A 20,732-nucleotide genomic window follows, 5' to 3' on the forward strand; every position below is an offset into this window, starting at 1 on the left:
GAGAACTCAAAATCATGTTAAGTGTGGAATGGTTCAAAGAAGTGAGGATGTTTGATCTACATCCAGAAGTTAACAGACAAGTGGTCTTCATGTGTTTAACAAAATGCACCTAAGAAGTTCAATTGGTAAAAGATTTTGGCTTAACCAAGATAAAAAATTTCTAACAATTTTACCCTAAAGAACTCCCTACCTAGCAAAGTACGAAGCTCCTAAAACACCTCAGGAGTACACACAAAGCATTCTGAAAAAGTAGGTATTAGAGAGACTTTCTGGACTGTGTGTATGTGTTTCACGGAAGATTTACCAATATTTATATATAGATTTATGGGTATCAAAAATGAGGACTCGCCTGGTAAGAAAAATGTGTTAGTTTTTTTAAAAGGCGTGTGTTAGGGCTGGGCGCGGTGGCTCACGCCTGTAATCCCAGCACTTTGGGAGGCCGAGGCGGGAGGATCACGGGGTCAGGGGTTCAAGACCAGCCTGGCCAACATAGAGAAACCCCGTCTCTGCTAAAAAATACAAAAAATTAGCCAGGCATGGTGGTGGGCGCCTGTAATTCCAGCTAGTCAGGAGGCTGAGGCAGGAGAATTGCTTGAACCTGGGAGGCAGAGGTTGCAGTGAGCCGAGATCGTGCCATTGCACTCCAACCCAGGTGACAGTGCGAGACTCCGTCTCAAAAAAATATACAAAAGGGGTGTGTGTGTGTGTGTATGTGTGTACAGGGGGTGTTGGAAAAATAAGGAAAAGCCAAGAGCTGAGGTTTCCCAAGTTCAGAGGAAAAAAAAAAAAGAAAGAAGAAAAATTAATCACATAGTCAGTGGGTGACGTGTAGGGGGGAAAATCTTAACAATGAACACCACAATGCCAGAAAAGAACCAAAAAATGAATTATAACTCATATGCAAATGAATCTGACTAAATGCTTCCAAAAGTCCAGATTAACACAAAACACATCCATGCTTTGCAGGCCTCCGAATTGACACCACTCTCAACCATCAATTTTCCTTCCACAAACATTTATTGCATGTCTACTCTGTACCATTTTCTCTGGAGCTTGATGCTATGACATTCTCTAACAGCCTCCTAAAAACCATGCTGTTCTGCTTTTTTTTAATTTTAATTTTTATTTTTTTAAGGCTAGTCAAGTGAAGTTCTGCTTATTTCTTAGCAGATCACTCGGGACTGGCCATTCCAAATGAAGTCAGTAATAGCTTTTGATTGTTTAGTAGCAATAAAATATTTTTATTGGGGCAGAAGTCTCTCTTCAGGTTTACATTCAGATGAAAGTATTGTGCTTCCTATACAGCAAATCCCTTTATGGTTATATACCTATTGAAATTCCTAAGATTGCTGATGTTCATAATTTTCCAAATTAAAAGACTTCCAAGTTATCTAAAAGTTATTTAAAACATCAAACCCAGTTCTTTACTGCATTTGATTACACAGCACACTTTATTTCAATAGTAAAGATCAGTCAGTCTTATCTTTTTCTAAAAGATGGCTCCTATCAGCATCGAATTGTCTTAAGCATTTAAATCAACATAACAAAAATCCCAAATAAGAATAAAATTCCCACTTTTCTGAAACATCATTTTAATTGACAGATTCTTCATAATCTGGTTATGAGCTTCATTTTTAGAAAGTATTTTTTAGGCATTAAGAGTATTTACTTTCATTTCAGAAGAAAAATTATTTCAGAAAATGATATAACTTCATTATTTTATAAAACTAAATGAAATGGAGATGGATATAGTTATGGTGATAAACATTTCCAATACAACAGACCAAGCATACATCTTTAAGAGTTCTTTCTCATTAAGAGACATTTATTAAGGTTTTCAGATTGTTTTTAAAATAAATGTCTGTTTTTTAAAATAAGCATTGATACTCTGAAACTCAATGATTTTAGCTATGTAAAATGTGTGATTAAAAATTAAGGCTGGGGAAACTTAAACACACATTACTAAGTGGAAGAAGACAATCTGAAAAAGCTACATTAGTTTTAAAACTAATCTGTACTTTCTAAAAATGACCCTGAAACTCCTCTGTGTTCCACCTATTCACCACCCAGATCATCAATTGGCTTCATCCACTGTAACATATGTTCCACCCTGGTTGGGGGTGCTGATAATGGAGAACACTGTGCATGTGATGGGGCAGGGAATATAATGAGAAGTCTTTGTACCTTCCACTCAATTTTGCTGTGAACCTAAAATAGCTCTAAAAATTAAAGTCTATGTTTTAAAAAGACTATTTTGCTTTTTATTCCTCCTTACAGTATATTCACATACTAGGGGAAATACAAACTTTTTTTGTTTTCAATTTGCAAATGGTGTCTCAATCTAAAAAGAATTAAGTCTTAATAGGAACACATCTTTTCCAGACCTATACATACATATGATACTCCAGAGTTTCAAAAGACCCTGAATTCAAAAATTTATATGCTCATCACATTACTAAGGGGCCGTAGTTTAAAAATCATTTAAAATATATAGTTATTTAAGTGTTCATCCTTAGCAATAATTTATAGTTGAATTAGGGACAGATTGCCAGAGACAATCTTGACAGAACCAATTCTCAGTCAATATTGAATCTTATTTCAAAAGAAGGAAGGCAAAAAAGAAGACTAGATGAAAATATTTTCAAATACAAATCAGAAACAGCAATATTCTTACTTCAGATATGCTAGTGCTGTATACTGAACTAGAACTGTTTTACTGAAAAAAATTTATTTAAAAACACATTTGTAAAACTCTGAATTTTAGTCATATTGTTGAGAAGTGTTAAGTGACTTTTTATAGGAGCTAGAATTGCCTTAGAAGTTGGGGGAACTGAGTAATGCCCAAGTTTTACAATGTCAAAAATCTTTATTGATTCAAAATTTTACAGTGCATTAGTCGTTCCCCAATCTGCTCCAAAATCCAGACAATGATTTCTGTTTAAATGTGTTGTTTTGATTTAAAAGAGAGAGAAGGCTGGGCGCAGTGGGTCACGCCTGTAATCCCAGCACTTTGGGAGGCCAAGGCAGGTGGATCATCTGAGGTCAGGAGCTCGAGACCAGCCTGGCCAACAATGTGAAACCCTGTCTGTACTAAAAATACAAAAATTAGCCAGGCATGGTGGCATATGCCTGTAATCCCAGCTATTTGGGAGGCTGAGGCAGGAGACTCACTTGAACCTGGGAGGCAGAGGCTGCAGTGAGCCGACGTCGCACCACTGCCCTCCAGCCTGGGCGAGAGTGTCTCAAACAAAATAAAAATAGAGAGAAGGAAAAAAAAAAAAACAAGAATATACTCGTTTAGGATCAAAGGCAGTTTGGAATAAGCTGACAGGTGAGTAAGAGTAGTTATTGGGCAGATAGAGGGTCTGCTGTCTCTGGTAATTGAGTAAAAAGACTGAGAAAACACTCAGTAGACTGATGGAGAGAGACTTCTCTCCTTTGAAGAGGGAAAATTAGCCGGGCACGGTGGCTCACGCCTGTAATCCCAGCACTTTTGGTGGCCAAGGCACATGGATCACTTGAGATCAGGAGTTTCAGACCAGCCTGGGCAACAAAGCAAAACCCTGTCTCTAGAAGAATACAAAAATTAGCCACGCATGGTGGTGTGTGCATGTAGCCCCAGCTACTTGGAGGGTTGAGGTGGGAGGATCACTTGAGCCAGGGAGGTCGAGGTTGCAGTAAGCCGTGTTTGCGCCACTGCACTCCAATCTGGGCAACACAGTGAAACCCTGTCTCAAAAAAAAAAAAAAAAAGGAAGAAGAAGAAGAAAAGGGAAAATTCAAGCCTGTCAGGAATCCAGTAGGAAAATCATATAGGTAGTGTACATTAAGATTTAGTCATGACTTCCCTGTTAATTGTGGTAAATTACATGGAGAAAGAAACTTCTCCTTTGTCCAAAGAAAAAGAAACTGGTTAGAGGGGTGAACACAAGCTACCGGAAAGAGACTTATAATAGTCAATAGTTAAAACCTGAAAGCGTGTTATAAAACAAAGGTTGCAGGGCTTGTGTATTTGGAGATTATATAAAATCCTTATTTTAATAATATGCTTCGTTTCAATTAAATAGCCATCTACCATTTAAAATGCAGGTGAGGTCTTAGGAGTTTACATCTATCAACACTGGGCAGACTAGAAATCAAGATATGTTACACTTGTCTGGAACCAGGGGAAGACTATGGGTAGATTAATTAGTAAATGTTAACAGTTCAGAAGGAAAAAATTAGTAAATGTTAACAGTTTAGAAGGAAAAGGAAACATATCTGGTAGCAAATCTTACTCTAAATGGGGATTGGGGGGAGTAGGGTATGTGTGTGCCTATATGTGTATATATATATGTGTGTGTGTATATATATATCAGCCATCCATAATCATGAATTTTAATAGAAACTAACATTTTTAACAGAGAAAACCTAAGTGGAACTATGGCTGTAACCAAACATTCAGTTTAAGGCCAATGAAAAAACTTCCTACTTGGCTGATGAAGTCATAACCCAGGCAATCTTTTACCTTTAGCTGGATACTAAACATATAGATGTAATAAAGGAAAAAAATAAAAATATACAGTTGTCAGACTTCTTGCAAATGCCAACATATAACACGACAATGTTTTAGAACACCCCACTAAAGTTCTAGATCACTACTTTCTGTTCCATCAATACATTATTTCAGTATGCAAGTCTGATAACAGAGTGTAAATGCTAAGTGCAGTCCTTGGGCCAAGATCTCACTATATTAAGCAACAGTGCTAGGCTACAAAAGTTGATTGCAGATTTCTTGCATTTCTTCTTGGAGATAGTGATAGCATTATCATCTTTAAATCCTTGTGGAGCTCTCCCTGTTTCCTTATGCTGAAAACAACAACTTCCTTGATTGGGGAAAAAAAAAAAAACAAAAAAACCCAGCAGATATGCTATCATTCTATATGGTGTAACACAGAGTAGCTCTTCTTCAAAGATGAATCGGAGATCACATCTTTAGTGTGTATGTAATACATCTTGGTGCCATTACTATAAGTTTTTTTCCATTTTGTAATATTAGAGATGTCACCAGTCTAGTGGTTATGTGTGTTGTCCCCTAAATTCTCTTTGGTACTGCAGAAAAATCCTGGGTAAATTAAACTCCACCTCTGTTTTACTCTTTTAGTTCTGACACTGGTAATTTTGTAGTTAGCATAAGTTTATTTTAAGAGTACCTGCAAGGTTACAATTTTTTCCCCTGCTAAAGTTACTCCAAGATCACTGGGCCACATTTAACACAGGGCAGCTTTGAAAACCTACAGGATCTGTGACAACAGCTGCCAGCTGGTGGTCATTTTGAAAGCCTTCAAATTCATTGTTTGCAATGAATTCACAGTTGTAAGCCCTTGACTTGAGAGACCTACTGTAATTAAACTGTAAGACACAATAATGTTTAGAGGAGACAGATTCTGAATCTTAAAAGTTTTTTCCTCCACTGAGTTTCAAGCATGAAAGCACATTTACATGGTGAGGGCTAAAGAAACTTCAAATTGTTGTTAGAATGTGACTATAGACAAATCACAATCCTTCGGAGCCTTGTTTATTATCATCATTGTTATTATTCGGTCTTTAAAAGGATTGTTAAAGACTATGTTATATTTATTTATTCATAGCTCTGAAGTGTCATGATTCCAATACAAATCATTTTTAAGTTATCCTTTCCTTGGGTTTTCCCAAAGACTGTGTCATAGATGGGTATCTTAGCAGTGGGACTGGAATTTGATGAGGAAAAGCTATGAAATATTTGTTCAGAAAAAACATGACCAGGGTGAAGTGGGCACCAGTATTACAACCTTATTGCATTTAAATAGGGTCTTTGGTTCCTTCAAAAAAAAATTGGAGAAAGACAATAAAGATACAGCATTTATCCTGAAGATATGAATTGGAACACAGCAGGAATAAATACATGAATAGACATAGGTCAAGGTCACCAAAATGACATGAGACATCTTCCTCTACTACATTCATTAAGTGGAAGATTTAACTGAAAATTGCTTTATATAAAAACACACACACATTCAACCACACATGCATATAGAGGGCTAGGCTTATGGTTTACCTTTGCTAAACAAACTCTTACAGAAGGCTAATTAAATGTCATGAAGACAGTAAGACTATTACTAACATTTCAAAGCTATTTAGAGTTGCTTCAAACATTTTTACCACTCAGAAAAGCAAATCTCCTAAGTGTCTCTTGCCTAGAGCTCCTTGCACTGCCCCCCACTGCCTTTTTAAAAGGGTGTATACAAGTTGCTTGATTCACAAGCTTAAGTTGCAGTAGTACTGCTATGCAGAAATACGGAATATTTAAAGGTTTAACATTTGCCTTTCAGCCTACTGGGTAAAACACAGAGTCTAGAAGCAGCTATTACCACACAGCCCCAACAAGAAACAGACTAAAATTCTTACAGCAGAGTAGGTTACTTATTCTGCTATTTTACCATTGAGATAATTAAAGAATGGTACTGGGTCACTGCATCATACACTTTAAAATAATTAATTGAACGTTATGTGAATTTCACCCGCTATAAAAAAGAAAGAAAGGTAATGGATGCATTAAAGGCTTTATAAATTATATGAGGGGAAAAAGCATTTTGGGATGTTGCTTTGTAACAGCACAATAGTGGGTCTGAGCACCCAACAGGAGCTGGAATAACAAAATTGTTATAAGCACAGTATGTTCCAGGGTCAGCTTGGAGCTTCCAGGAACTCTTAGAATAAAGGTAAAGTGGGCTAAGACAGTGAAGTCAATAGTTGCCTTAGGAAGTGTGGTCAAGAGGAACCTGGAGAAAAGGAAATGGTTCTCAAGGTCAACAACTTCAAGCTGTTTTATGGAACATCTGGGTACTTCAGTCCATTTCTCAAGTAGCTTAGATTACTTAGGCTTGCTCTCAGTTCTAGGTACCTAAACTCGATTTCTCTATAACTCAAACCCAGAGAAGACTCTCTAAAAGACCAAAAAACAGAGTAGAATCTTCTTAATGCATCTCAAATTATCAAGAGTGATTCTTTGGAAATAGCCCCTGACTAAGAAGTGGAAGGCTAGTATGACCAGCAATGTTAGGTGGCTCGATTACAACTCACAGAAGCAAATCACAGGGTGATAAGGAGGTCCAAGGAGCAGTGGCTTCTCAATCCATCAACAAGGTTTCACAAACATAGTATTCTTGAGCAATGATTTGTACTTAGAAGCATTATCCTTTTTAAATGTCACAGTTGATATTTCAGCTGACATATACGGAGTGAGTTTAAAAATACTTTATTAGAAAACTAAGGTTGCTTCCAAACTAGGAATATTTATTATTAACTGACTAGGAGAAAAAAAAAAAACCACACAGTTGACTCCAGGTACCTGGGGTTTTCACATTTGTGGATTCAACCAACATCGAATAGAAAATTTTTTTAAAAAATTGTGTAATTTATTAAGCATGCAGTTTTCGTCAGTCTCTAAACAATATAACAACTATTTACATAGCACTTACATTGTAATAGGTATTAGAAGTAATCTAGAGATTATTTAAAATATACGGCCTCCCATATATGTGCAGGTCATATGCAAATACTACACTGTCTTATATCGAGGACTTGAGAATCCAAGAATTTTGCAATCTGTGGAACCAATCCCCTACAGATACCTAGGGATGACAGTATACGGTATCTTCACCCTGCTCTACTACCTCTTCAGCAATTTTTTCCTAGAGGTCACCTCCTAAGTATACAAAATATAAGAAACAAGGGTAAATTAGCCCAATAATTTGTAGATTTTATTTATTCATAGTACATTCTCTTTGGGGGAAATTATCAAAATATTTTTATAACCTGTTACAATAAAATTCTTACTTTATCTCTACTGTTCACCAGTACCTTAATTCTTATTTGATATATAAATAAAGCAGAATGACCTAATCCAACTATGTAAGAGCAGATGCTTTCCCTTCATAGGTGGAAGCCCATTTTTAAAAAAGCCTTCCAGTTTGCAAGTGAGCTTGGGAGAAGCTATATTACCTGTAATAAGGGCTCCTCAACTACCAAACTCATCATACACCATACCTAATCCCTCTGTCTAAATCTTTCACATCATCAGTAACATTTCTACCAATCCTTCACACTCACTGGGGCTGCTTACTTATAGCTGTCTCATCTCATCCCTGGCTTTTCCTGGTCCTCCCCAGCACTCTGCTTCCATGTCCTCCTACGATGCTTTGAGGAAGGAAGTTTTCCTTTGATCATTTTCAACTCACCGGAAACCTGACCCAGGATTCCCCAGGTGCCCATCTGCGGATGCATGGAATTGCTTCCATGCTTTCTACAATTCTCTCTCACATAGTTTGACTTCCTACACTCATGAAAAGACTGGAGGAGAGAGTATATAGACGGTTACAAAAGACAAGCTTCTTTCCAAACTCCAACCCTCTCCTTTCTCTGGTTCTCAATCATCATTTAGCATTGAGTGGTTATCACAGTGACCACAGTCTCCTAGTTATCATTCCCTTAGCAACACTAACATGTTCTTTGTCATCATCAAAATCTAAAATCATTCAACTCCCTTCCACATCACTCACACCATTTCTTCACAGGAAACTGCCTTAATAGACTCTTCTTGGCACAAGATTATACATTTCAATGTGGTCTTCTTGAATGTCTCTATGTCTTTGTCTTTTTCCCCTTTTAACCAAACACTCAATATTTGCTTTTTCCACTCCTATGCTTTGTGCTAAACCAGAGGAACATACAAAACCACATATATTTCAACTTTAGAGATCTTTAAGCTGACTCTTATCTTTACACAGCAACTAAGCAACTATTTACAATGCATTTCTGGGCTTATTCTCACAAAAGACTTTTTTTTTTAATCTCCTTTAAAAGGCTCCCAATTCCACTCTTTCACCCCCATTTTCAAACAATAATGCATTTTAATAATTACTGATATGAGCCATTTCATCAATTCTCATCTTTCTCTTTCCCCAGGTTCTTCTTGCTCTTACAAATCACAGAGGAAGATACAGCCCACCTCTCTCTCTCTCTTTTTTTTTTTTTTAGACGGAGTCTCGCTCTGTTGCCCAGGCTGGAGCACAGTGGCACCATCTCGGCTCACTGCAAGCTCCACCTCCTGGGTTCGCGCCATTCTCCTGCCTCAGCCTCCCGAGTAGCTGGGGCTACAGGTGCCCGCCACCACGCCCAGCTAATTTTTTTGTATTTTTAGTAGAGACGGGGTTTCACCGTGTTAGCCAGGATGGTCTCGATCTCCTGACCTTGTGATCTGCCTGCCTTGGCCTCCCAAAGTGTTGGGATTACAGGCGTGAGCCACCGCGCCTGGCCACCCACCTCTCTTAAGCTATACCACATGCTCGTCTCAGGAGCTTATCTCTTCCCACCACCCAACGACATCTATTATCCTACTGAATGAGCCTATCTTCTCTTCAGCACTGCCAGTCTCTTCCTCTCAATTGGCTCTGTAAGGTCTGCCTTTAAATATTTAGGTTCTTCTTCTCCCTTATATTAAAGCAATGCCTTCTAAGATCTACCACCCATCTAGTTAGCATCTTGTTTGTCTCTTCAACTTTGTTGTCAAATGTCTTAACACTAAGTAGTCAATGATTGCTGCATACATATTCTTGACATTTCCTCATTAATCCTAAAAAGATGGGCTTCCATTCTGTACTTTTCTATGAAAGTTACATTTTTAAAGATCACCACAGATCTAACCAAATCTGAAGGCCTTTTCTCAGCTCTTACGCTTTCCAATTTCTAATTCATAGTTCTTCTCCATTCCAACCACTACTGTGCTAGTCTAGGCCAACTTATTTGCACTGGCCAGCAATGGCATACTACTGGAATTACTTTCTAACCGGTCCTAATTGCAATCAAATCTATTACCCCATTACTGTTCTTAAAATGCTATGTTCAAACTACATTTTTGCTAAGAACCTATAGTTCTCTACCACTGACCACATTCACATCAAGACTAAACTCTTCTTCTGGTTTTCAAGGCTTTAAACACACTTATCCAAGCTTACCAGTCCCTGAATACCTCAGCTGGATCTCCTTACTGCCCTATCCCAACCCCTATAGGCCACTGTAAGATTTCAAAGCAACTGCAATTTGTTCCTTTCTCTTGTCTTTCTGAGGCAATGCCTCCGTGGGAGTACCTATGGACCTGTGCCAGAGCTCTGGCAGTCTTGACAGTGCTCGGAACACTGTACAAATAGGAGTCATGTCAGTGGAAATGTGCAGAGGTAAAATGCATTAAAGTTGTTTTCTTTAAAGGAACACCTACACAGAAGGCTGTACTTAATTCCCAGGATGCTAAGAGTAAGAGACATGAGCTCACACACACGTAGAATAATGAATGTTTGTCTTTCCTAGTAAGGTTTTTTCACCTCCCTCCAAATTATCATAAATTTTAAAATTTGAAATATAAGTATTCAATACCCTTTGTTGCCACTGTCGGAGCAGTTACTGAGAGATGATAAATAATAAAATGAGTCTGGACTGCTATGGTGGTTCCTGTGATTAAAATATTATCAAGACCTGACAGAAATAATGTGAAATATAATTGTCACTAGAATTATCCTTGATGATAGGGTCTGTATTTTATTCAACCTTGTATCTCTAAAGATCTAGTTCAAGTCACTATACAGAATAGGTACTCAAATATTTAATTAATGCTTTGTTGAAATAAGGGGAGAGTACACAAAAGTAACACATGGAAAACCAAAATTCAATAATAGAATGAAAAGGAAAGCATTATTAGTCAGAAAAAAATATTTTCTAATGCAATCTTAGAGAAAATAAAGAGGCACTTATAATTCATCATACAACTAAAATCATTCAGTACAGGACTCTATTCCCTAAAGTGGCACTAAAAACATTTCAAGGCAGCTGTTCTTTTTTTTTTTTTTTTTGATGGGAGAAGGGGATCACCAAATCCTTCACAAATCTAATAACTATGGATCTTCTCCCTAGAAAAAAATGGACATATGTACATGCACACAAACCCACAATTTTGTGTGTACTCTCAAAAATCTGGGCTCCAGGTTAAAAATTCCTATGTTAAGGGAAAAGCTAGTCACTTTATAAAGGTTAAGGGTGTAAAAGTATATTAAGTTTCCCTTGCACATGATGCATCATGCAGGAATTTAACAACAACAACAAAAAAAACCTGAAGCTTTTAAAGAATTTCTCATTCTTCTGTCATTTTGATTTCAATTTGCTTGCTATGTGAAGTAGTGGCTTCTTTTATGTGTTGTATAATTTCTTCTGTCCTTTAGTGTAAAATTAATTATGACTATGATTTTAAAGCTTCAGGTTTTTTAAAAAACCATGTTTAAATAAAATATTAGGTAAGCAAAAGGTGAAGCTTACAAGGAAGGTGTAGGAATTACAAAGTGAGGCAAAAGATCATGTTTAGCCATTCTATGCAAAAATTTAGAAGATAAAGTCTAATTGCCCAAAAAGCATTTCTTGATTTACGGTGTGCATGTAAGTGGGGGTGGGGAGGAGAAGCAGGCAGGGAGATCGTTTTGCCATTTTATTTAGGGCTCTGGCAAATCTGGGCAAACTACCTGATGATTTTTCCACGCTGGCTATGAATGAGAAAGGAAAGAAGCCTCATTTAACAGGTATATCTCTCAACACCAAGGAGCAAATGGCACTAACCACTTGCTATGGCTTTGTAAGAAGATCCAGGCAATGAAAGGCTAACACTGAATGCTGGAGAAGGCTTTGAGCTAGTAAGCATCATTACAAGGAGCCAGAGTTTGTTATAATAACAAGGCCCAGGAGCCTCAGCTCCACAGGAGACATAAGTGAAGTCTTGGCCTCTTACAGTAAAAATGAAAACCATAATTAAATTAAGCTATAGTAAAAGACTGATAATAAGTCTACAATATTAATAAGTCTACAGTATTTTATTGGCATTTTCCAAATTGGCAATGTTCTTGTAATGTCTTAAAGTCACTTCTAGATAGAAATTAGAGATTGATGTTTATGCTGAATTTTACAAAAATAACTTAAATGGCTAGACAATTCGCTGCTTCTACAGCCTCAGTTAACCAAATCTAAGGATATCTAAGAATAGATTTTTGTTTACCTCACTGTACCTTGGGATAAAGTCATTTAATTTGTCACATTATATCTAACAGAAAATAATCCAATTTTATATAGAGGTAACCTTGAAAACTCCAACTCCAACATGACATTAAGTACCATCTCCTAATAACATGTTCTATTATTATTATTTTCAATCTCTAGGCTTCTTTTTTGTATTCACATTATCCCCTTTCATACTTTTTTTTTTAACAAATTAAAGCATACCTTTTATCATAATGGTTAAAATCTCAAGAGGAGGTGTGACTTTCCCTTTCTTCCCAGATGCTTCATGTAGGCAGAATATGGTCATGTTTTCTGAATCAGCTTTTGTCCACTGCTCCAAACTAAGTACAGTTTCTTTTCCTTTATTATCAGTTTTAAAACTATTTCAAGAAATGTGTTTTCAGAAATATCACTTCACATTATGTCCTAATAAAGTACTCCACTATTCTCTTGATTAAAATTATCTGTTACAATTTAGGTGGCCTAATTTTAGAGGACATCCAATCTCTTCTCTTCTGCCTTAGTCTCATTCTGGTCAGGTACTTATAATATTATCTTATTATCACATTTTAATTATTAAACAATGAAATTTCCAAAACAATATCCCACAGAATTACTGTTTGTTCAGTAACAATGTTACACTACTATGGTTGCTTTTCACATACAATGTTTACTCCGTATTCAAGTTTCAGATAAGTCAACTATAAACTGAAGTTCTGTTTTTGAGGCATTTCCTGGTATACTAGGCAGTGCATTAGAAAAGAGATTATATTGCATTTAGGCTACAATAATTATCTTTTAACCATCTATGCATAATTAACAACCATTCAAAAAGAAAGTGCAAAAGTGCAAAAGAGAGAGAACAAAACAGTTTCTACACATGTAATGCATATTATAGGATATAAATCTAGACAACTAAAAACAATCGCCAACAATATCCTTCTGAGCATTAAATGACACCACCAATTTTGTTTTATATGTATTCTTTCTTCTCAAGTATTCAAAGAATGCAATAGACATTATCTTGTTAATTTGCAAATTTTTCAGGAGATTAGGATATTATTTTTTCACAAACCAGAAAACAAGATACTACCATTACCTTTGTATAATTTTTCAATAATAGAGCCAAAATAACAACAATTCTAGCTAATCTCACCTGGGATCTTAGTACTACAAGTTTATTTTTATGAGTTAGAAATAGTATCACTCATGAGAAACAATGCCAAAATTATTACACTAATAAATTATGTTAAAGGCCTAATGAAGAAATACTTCAACAACTATGAGGTAACACGCTAGCTGTAGGCATGAGGAACGTTTATATTGGCTCTTCTGGGTGTATACATTAAAAGCAAAATCATAAAGGAATCATGCAAAAATCCAGTTGCCCATGCAAGCACCCCAGAGTCTAATCCTCTCCTCTCAGTTCTGTTGTCAGGCCACAGTAGTGTGGAGACTTGTAGGCTGCTGTCCTTGTTGTAATGAATGGGAAGAGGTTGACAGTGGCATGGTCGAAACCTTCACCTCTTCTTCCCCTGTGGAAAAGTCAGTCATGGTCTAGTTATGGGTGACTAGATTTGTTAACAGTCCCTTTAAAAATGATTTCAATATTTGGAATACTGATACATATATAAAATACATGCTTAATGTTTGGAATCCAGGTGTGAAACAAGACATGAATTTTAAAATATAAACTTATCAAGTACTTGGAAAGTAGTTATATTCTAAATATATCCTGAGTAATATTGTTTCAGAGATAAGAACAAATACAATAGATTTAGATTATAAACATACTACCAAAAAAAAAAAAAAAAAAAAAGACCAGGAAAGCCATTCTTTTCCAAGCCAATTGGACCCTTATAGATACTCCTAGTAAATGGTAAATATTAATAGTATTTTGTGAAAAAATTAAACCTTGATTTACAGAAGTGAAAACTGATTTTTAAAAGAGAAAAATTACAAATCCATGTTTTGAAAGCATAAATTATGTACTAGAAAAAAATGAAAGCTATAAATATTAACTAGTAAATTAACATACAGCATCTGAAAATTCAAGTTTACCTTTGAAGTAATTGAAAAATAGTAAAATGTTAACAGTACAATGATCCAATTGACTGAAAATGAGATGACTACTTCTAGGTCAGAGAATTATAGATGAATGAGATCGGTTCTCCTGATTATAACTGAAAATTATTTGACTACAAGTGACTTGTTTCACACATGACTCAAAATTCAATCAAGTCACTGTTAAAACAGTTCATATAGAAACAAAGAAAATTTAAAGAAAAATGCCCTCTCAAAAGTAAAGTTTAAATTAACAAAAACATGAAAAAAAAATCCAATCCTAAACAGTTTCAAATATTTTTTGAGGTATATCTTGAAACAACAATGCTTACTGACTTATGTTTTCCAAATAATTTTTAACATCATGGAATAAAAACAACTTGGCAGAATATTTTTTTAAAACAAATCTGCAAAATTACATGTGGAAGGATAACTGACAAAGCAGAAAAAGAGTCTGTCAATCCATATAACAGGTGATTTTGTAGTTTTTCAGTAAATTGGCAAAGATTCTTATAAACCCCAAGAACATAGCAATGAGGCTCTGTAAAGCAAATTTTAGACTAGAGTTCTTAGCAAGAAAATGATATTAATAAGGACTAAGAAACAGACTGATTTCTATCAAGTCGATACACTTTATTCTATTTTGTAACAATAGGCCATATACCCCTGAGCTGGGCCAATTTGTCTCATGAGTTGATACTGTTGATAAAAAGGGACTTCCAAGTGTGTGAGAGCAAAAACAATTGCCACGGGAAGAAAGCCAAGTTAAAGCACATGCCAGTGATCTTCATTTATGAAGGAGGGCATCGTTGTAGTGCAAAAACATTTCCATTGTTGAATTTGAGATCTAAGTTCTTACCCTAATTCCACTACTAATTGAATATGTGACCTTTAACAAATTATTTAAGCTTTCTGGAACACAGCTTTGCTATTCCTAAAATGAAGGAATTGGACAAAACAAAGTCACGTTTTAGGACAAGGTAAATCACTTTGTAGAAAGAAGGCATATGGTTCCAATAATAATAAAAAAAAAGATCTGAATGAATTTACTGTAACTGCCCACGAATCAAAATTTCCCCCAAGAATATTTATGTCAAAAATATTTCTAAACTTAGTAAACCAAATGCTGCTAAAAAGGTTTCACCTAATTAAGGAAATAACTACTAATTTTAAACACAAAAACAGTTTTCAATTAGATCAAAAAAAAAGGAAGCTGCATTTCTGTCAAACCTCTGGCAACTGTTTTTCCCATGATAGGTTTCAGATATATCAATCTTTAATAATTCACTGAACAAACCAAAAATAAAAATTTAAGTACAAATGTATAGTAAGTAGACATTCTATCTGTATGACATGTAGGTGACTGCCATCTCTGATTTGCTCTTACAGGTCAGAGACCATATTTTGCTCTACATATTTAGAGAATAAATATATATGCCTTTCCAGAGTGTAGAATTAGTTTAAAATATTGTCTAAGTATATCTTAAAGTAGCAGGTCCCACTGAAACAGGTATGTACTCTCTCCATTACTGAAGCATTTAGTGACAGCTGCCCTGTGTAAGGTATCATGATAACTGCTAAAAGATACAAAGTTGAATCCTTGCCAATAGTTCAACTCAGGTGCAAGTGAGTTAGAACAGGTGCAAGTGAGTTACAACAGGTGCAAGTGAGTTACCTAGGTATTAAATTGCTTCAAATTAGACATAGTTAAGATGTATATATAGTTTTCCAGATTTTCACTTTCTGTCATTTCTAATAGTTACTGAAAATCCTAAATCTTCTGGCTACAATTACACAGCTATTCTGCTCTGAGGCTTAGCACATTCAGTTTTCTGGGGCATCTACCAAATATTTATAATCCATGAGAGGATTCTGGTGTGTGAGACTCTTGATAAAAATTTTTAAATTTTGGTACATTAAAACTAAAATTTCTCTAGTCATCAGAGCCTTAAAAATAACCTAATAATAAGCTTAACCATAAGTCACCATTTAAATACCAAGCAAGTCTGCATAGCCTGAAATTGAAAATCCAAAATAAACTCTCCCACCCCCTACCAAATAGTACAACGATTCAGAACCTAAAGTTGGTGACTACATTTTTAGCATCTCTGAAAAAAAAAGGTTTTAATGCTCTATGGTTGAGTATATGGTAAAAGTTTTAAAAATTAAAACAAAATCCCCAAAGATAGGACCATAATTTAATGTCACATTTTTTCCATAAAGCATCTACTTTAGACGAAGATTTTAAATGACTAACACAAGGACAACTAAACTCACTAATCAGCGATTTCTCATTACCAGTGCAGCATTCTGAGAATAACTATTGGTTTGAAATATATGGGTTAAAACTACTCTTCAGTGTTAAGGGATAATATGATGACTATGAAATTGGAAGAAAATCAAAGATCGTCATGTAATAAGTCAAATAAAAGCACAAAAAGAAGACAGCTAATAACTAGAATCCCATAAAGGCATCCTACTTCCTATCATACCAAGTCCATGCCATTTTGCCTCATTGTCAGAGTTTCTCATCTTCTCATCCATTATATCTATACAATTTAAGAAGCACCTCCTGTTATAGGAGGTAGCTGTATTACTTCTCAGTGTAATGACATACTAATTCCTGCCTCTATGCCTTTACTCAGGAGGTTTCCATCAACATAAAAGGCCTTTTCTCTTCCCCTGCTGCTAACCCAAATCTAAGATATGATAGTAGGGATCAATTCCTACTTATTCAATGAAGCCTCCCCAAGAATTACAGGGTACATTGATGTCTCTCAGATTCCAGTATCAGACATATAGTTACCACTTTCACACATTATTTTAGTCTCTTCAACTATACTTTAAGTATGTGGAAATTTTATCCATATCTTAAACTTCTTTAATATGTCCCACATGTCCTAATTCATTGATGGGCAAATAGAAACCCTCATATTCACTGTAATTGGTCTAATCTTTAAATGTTTTGATGATTTGGGAGAACTTAACTTTAACTTTTAATGAATGTTATAATCAATTATGAGATACACTACTAGTAATTAAAATGCCACATTTCTCAATGATTAAAGCAAAGTAAAATCAAAGAAAATTACATTCTAATATGCTATCTTGAATGGAAGGAAATAAAAGGAGTATTTGGAACTGAACACATTGTTTCACAAGTAAGTATCATGTAGAAGAAGAGGACTGAAAAATGTCACTCTGGTTACCTACTAACTACCATAATTAAATGAACAAATAAGAGTCCCAACACTGTGCAAATAACTACATTACGTGCTACCAGGCTTATGTAAATTAACTTCACTGTATCAACGGTAAATTTCACTATGTCAACAGCCACAAACTATATTCTCTTAACCTAGCTACTCGTCTAAAACATGAAATATTGTCGGTCCCAAAGGGAACAGGGATAAAGAACTTTGATAGACCTCTGTAAATTCATCTATCAGCCTTGCTAAAAACAAGAGCGTGAACTTCTGCCTTGCTGCTGATAAAAGTATCCTATTACAATAATACTGTGCCATGCCATATCTAACAAGGGATAACAATAAATTGTATGAATTATGTGAAGAACTATTCTAACAGAGTGAGAAACTATTGTATTCTACTTGAGAGAATCATGATTCTATTTCACTTGAGAGAATCAGGAGAGGAACAAACTTTTTTTAACATCATCTCTAAAGCCAAAGTTAAACGAGAACACTATTAACAAGAATAATTCCCTTGGATATAGAAGATACTTCATCTAAAAAATGTTATATAGAATCTTAAAACCCAAAAGTTCTGAAACCTTCAAGGGTAGCAGTACAAAACCAGAAGTATTTTGGCATCAAACTTACATTACCTTATATATACTTCATATTTTTCCCCAGAAATAAAAACATGGCAGATCAAATGGGAAAGTATCTTTCCTTGAACAATTTCTCTTTCACAAAAGGTGTATGTCTGAGACATATGATATGCTTGTAAAACATTCATAATCAGAGTTCTCAAGTATATTTATAGCTCAGTTTTGATGTGTGTGTATATGTGTATCAGTCAAAACAAGTAACTGCCAAAAGTAGGTAGAGAGTGGCTTTATCCCTCATGCTCTCATTAATTATCATTAAAAAAATTTTTTTTAACCATTTTACTTTAGAATATAAAATCATAATTTTCACCACGGTGTTGGACTTTATAGTACCATAACTTCAGAGACCATTTTCTTCTTTTTCATTTTGCATTTGTATACCATATGAAAGTTTGGTAATTATCCTATTAAGTAAAATGCTTCCAAACAATAACTAAGTATAATACTCCACCATCCTTATAAAGCTCAATATTACAAGGCATCCATCTAATGAAAAATATATTTTAGATTATGATAAAGACTAATCTTTCATAGACATTTCCAAGATATTAGTACTCTGTTATTCAACAGTTACTTCCCTATCCACCCAACAACCTGAAAATATGAGTTATTCAAAAATTCTCAAAGGTTTTAAATGAACCTACCTGCTACAGGGATCCCTCCCAGACCTGTGTTGTGCTGTGGCGGGAGATTCAAGTCCAAGAAATTACTATTTGAGGTGGGGTTTGCTGTGTGGTTCAAGTGCATGATGCTATTGCGTGGAAAGGCCATCCAAGGATAGCGGGCTGCCTGGCCTGGAAAACTGAATGAATTATAAACCGCTCGGTGCTGCTGAAATTGAGGGAACCTCTGGGGCAAGACTGAAAAGGTACTATTGAGAGAATTGGCATTTGTAGCTGCAGCAGGATGCAGGAATCCAGAGCCTGGACCTTTGGCGGTTGTAGTGTGTGAAGAGGAGTTCTGAAGAGATGTGGGCGAAAGGGAAGGTTGGTCTTGAACGGACAGTTCCTTCTCAATCAGGTCTGCTAAGGCTTTTCGAGTGACATCGAAGGGATCAAAACCCAAGTCATCCTCTGGTTGTTTAGAAGAACCAAAGCCAAAAGCTGCTTGCCAGTCTGTAGAGGATGATACTGGGATTGTTTCTGTTGGGAAGAAAAATAGTGATGAATATCAGATACATAGCTCATTTTCATACTTAATAAGTATCCATGCTACTGAAAGTTAAACATGTCATTTTACAAATTAAGTAAGTGCAAAATCTATGTGACTTCTTAGCACATTAAGATCATATAATTACAAAAGGCCTTATGTACTTCTAGCAGTTACTTAACTCTTAAGCTACTAGCTTCAAAAACTGAATGATATAGACTGATTTTGCTAATCAAAGGAAAAAAATGTACTTGACACTCCAATTATACTCTCAACCATTCATAATCAAAACCAACCTAAGTCACTTCCATCAAATAAATATAACAGATTTTAATTAGTAAAGTTGATTTTTAAATGTATTTATCAAAGTACAAATAATTTTGAATACATGCTTTCTATACTAAGAAAAATATAATTTAATTAAAAAGTATTTATATTAATCCTCATAGTTTTTTGGAATTTTCTGCTCCACAGGTGCTGTTGTCAATGTTACTTTTATGCCACCTTTCATAGTAATGAGAGAATTTAGAATGGATAAAAATGGAAATGGCTCAAAAATACCATTTAGTAGTAACATAACTGTTACTACTAAATAACTTGCATCTTTGTCAGCTGGGGGTGGAAAATCTTAAACACAAATCTAATTAAATAAAAATACAAATCTAATTAAAAATCTAAGTCCTTGCCAGGTGCAGTGCTTCATGCCTGTAATCCCAGCACTTTGGAAGGCTTGGGTGGGAGGATCACTTGAGGCCAGGAGTTCAAGACCTGGGCAGTATAGCAAGACCCTGTCTCTACAAAAAATTTAAAAATTAACCAGGAGGCTGAGGTGGGAGGATCACTTGAACCCAGGGTGTGAGGCTGCAGTGAGCTAAGATCACACTACTTGCACTCCAGCCTGGGCGAGAGACCAAGACCCCCACCTCCAAAAAGTAAAAATGAAAAAAAAAATTCCCAATGGAATAAGCTTTTTACTATTGGGAAAACAATATAACCCTTTACTTCTGGAGAAATCTTTTAACACAGTAATTTCTAGGTCACACAACAATGTATTTAACCACCTAATTCCATGTAGTTTAAATATTTGCATTTTTATTAAAAGAGAACAGAGAGGCAAAAGATAAAAATATATCCACTAATGAGTTTCATGTTAGTCTGTCAACAATACGTTAAGAGCATAATTACTAATACTTGGTACTATTGTTATATACCTGATGTGAAGAGGCTCTGTGGTTCTGGTGCTGTAGGCCAGTCACTGGATGTCTGTGGGGAGCTGGGGAAAGGAGGAAGCCCACTTGGGATAGGGTTGGGATGGCGAAAATTGTCTGAGAATAACGACTGTGACTCTGTTACTGCCCCTTCAAAAGGGGACCGTGCACTGTGATTGGATGAACTGATGGGGATGACTGGATTGGATTTTGACAAACCAGGTGGTGGTGAAGGCGTATCACTGTTAGATATCTGAATAAAAAAGGAAAACAAATAATAACTACATGTTTATACATTTTAATAAGCCACAATTAAAAAGTTTGCAACTAAATGTATTAGAATAGTGTTTC

The 20,732-nt window shown here is 35.6% G+C and overlaps 1 protein-coding gene across 16 annotated transcripts in view, besides 1 other annotated feature; it reads right to left on the reverse strand.

The window, feature by feature from the left end:
* Positions 1-20,732, reverse strand: part of CNOT4 (CCR4-NOT transcription complex subunit 4) — a 148,308-nt gene that overhangs the window by 13,455 nt on the left and 114,121 nt on the right. For 12 of the 16 annotated variants that reach the window (NM_001393373.1, NM_001393371.1, NM_001393375.1 and 9 more), the window contains 2 exons: positions 20,385-20,634; positions 18,669-19,166 (listed from right to left, as the gene is read on the reverse strand). In NM_001393373.1, coding sequence (NP_001380302.1) covers positions 18,669-19,166; positions 20,385-20,634 — 748 coding nt within the window. Of the gene's footprint in view, positions 1-11,820; positions 13,646-18,668; positions 19,167-20,384; positions 20,635-20,732 lie in introns of those variants that run through there. The other 4 variants (NM_001008225.3, NM_001190848.2, XM_047420415.1 and 1 more) reach the window with 1 other exon arrangement.
* Positions 5,067-5,647: an enhancer, noted in NCBI's record as "OCT4-NANOG hESC enhancer chr7:135065068-135065648 (GRCh37/hg19 assembly coordinates)". NCBI's record gives its function as "activates a minimal SCP1, AML or CMV promoter by ChIP-STARR-seq in naive H9 embryonic stem cells {active_cell/tissue: H9 hESC(naive)}" and the evidence as "EXISTENCE:reporter gene assay evidence [ECO:0000049][PMID:30033119]".

The sequence above is a fragment of the Homo sapiens genome, chromosome 7 (genome assembly GCF_000001405.40).
Source record: "Homo sapiens chromosome 7, GRCh38.p14 Primary Assembly".
In the NCBI taxonomy this organism is placed as follows: Eukaryota; Metazoa; Chordata; class Mammalia; order Primates; family Hominidae; genus Homo; species Homo sapiens.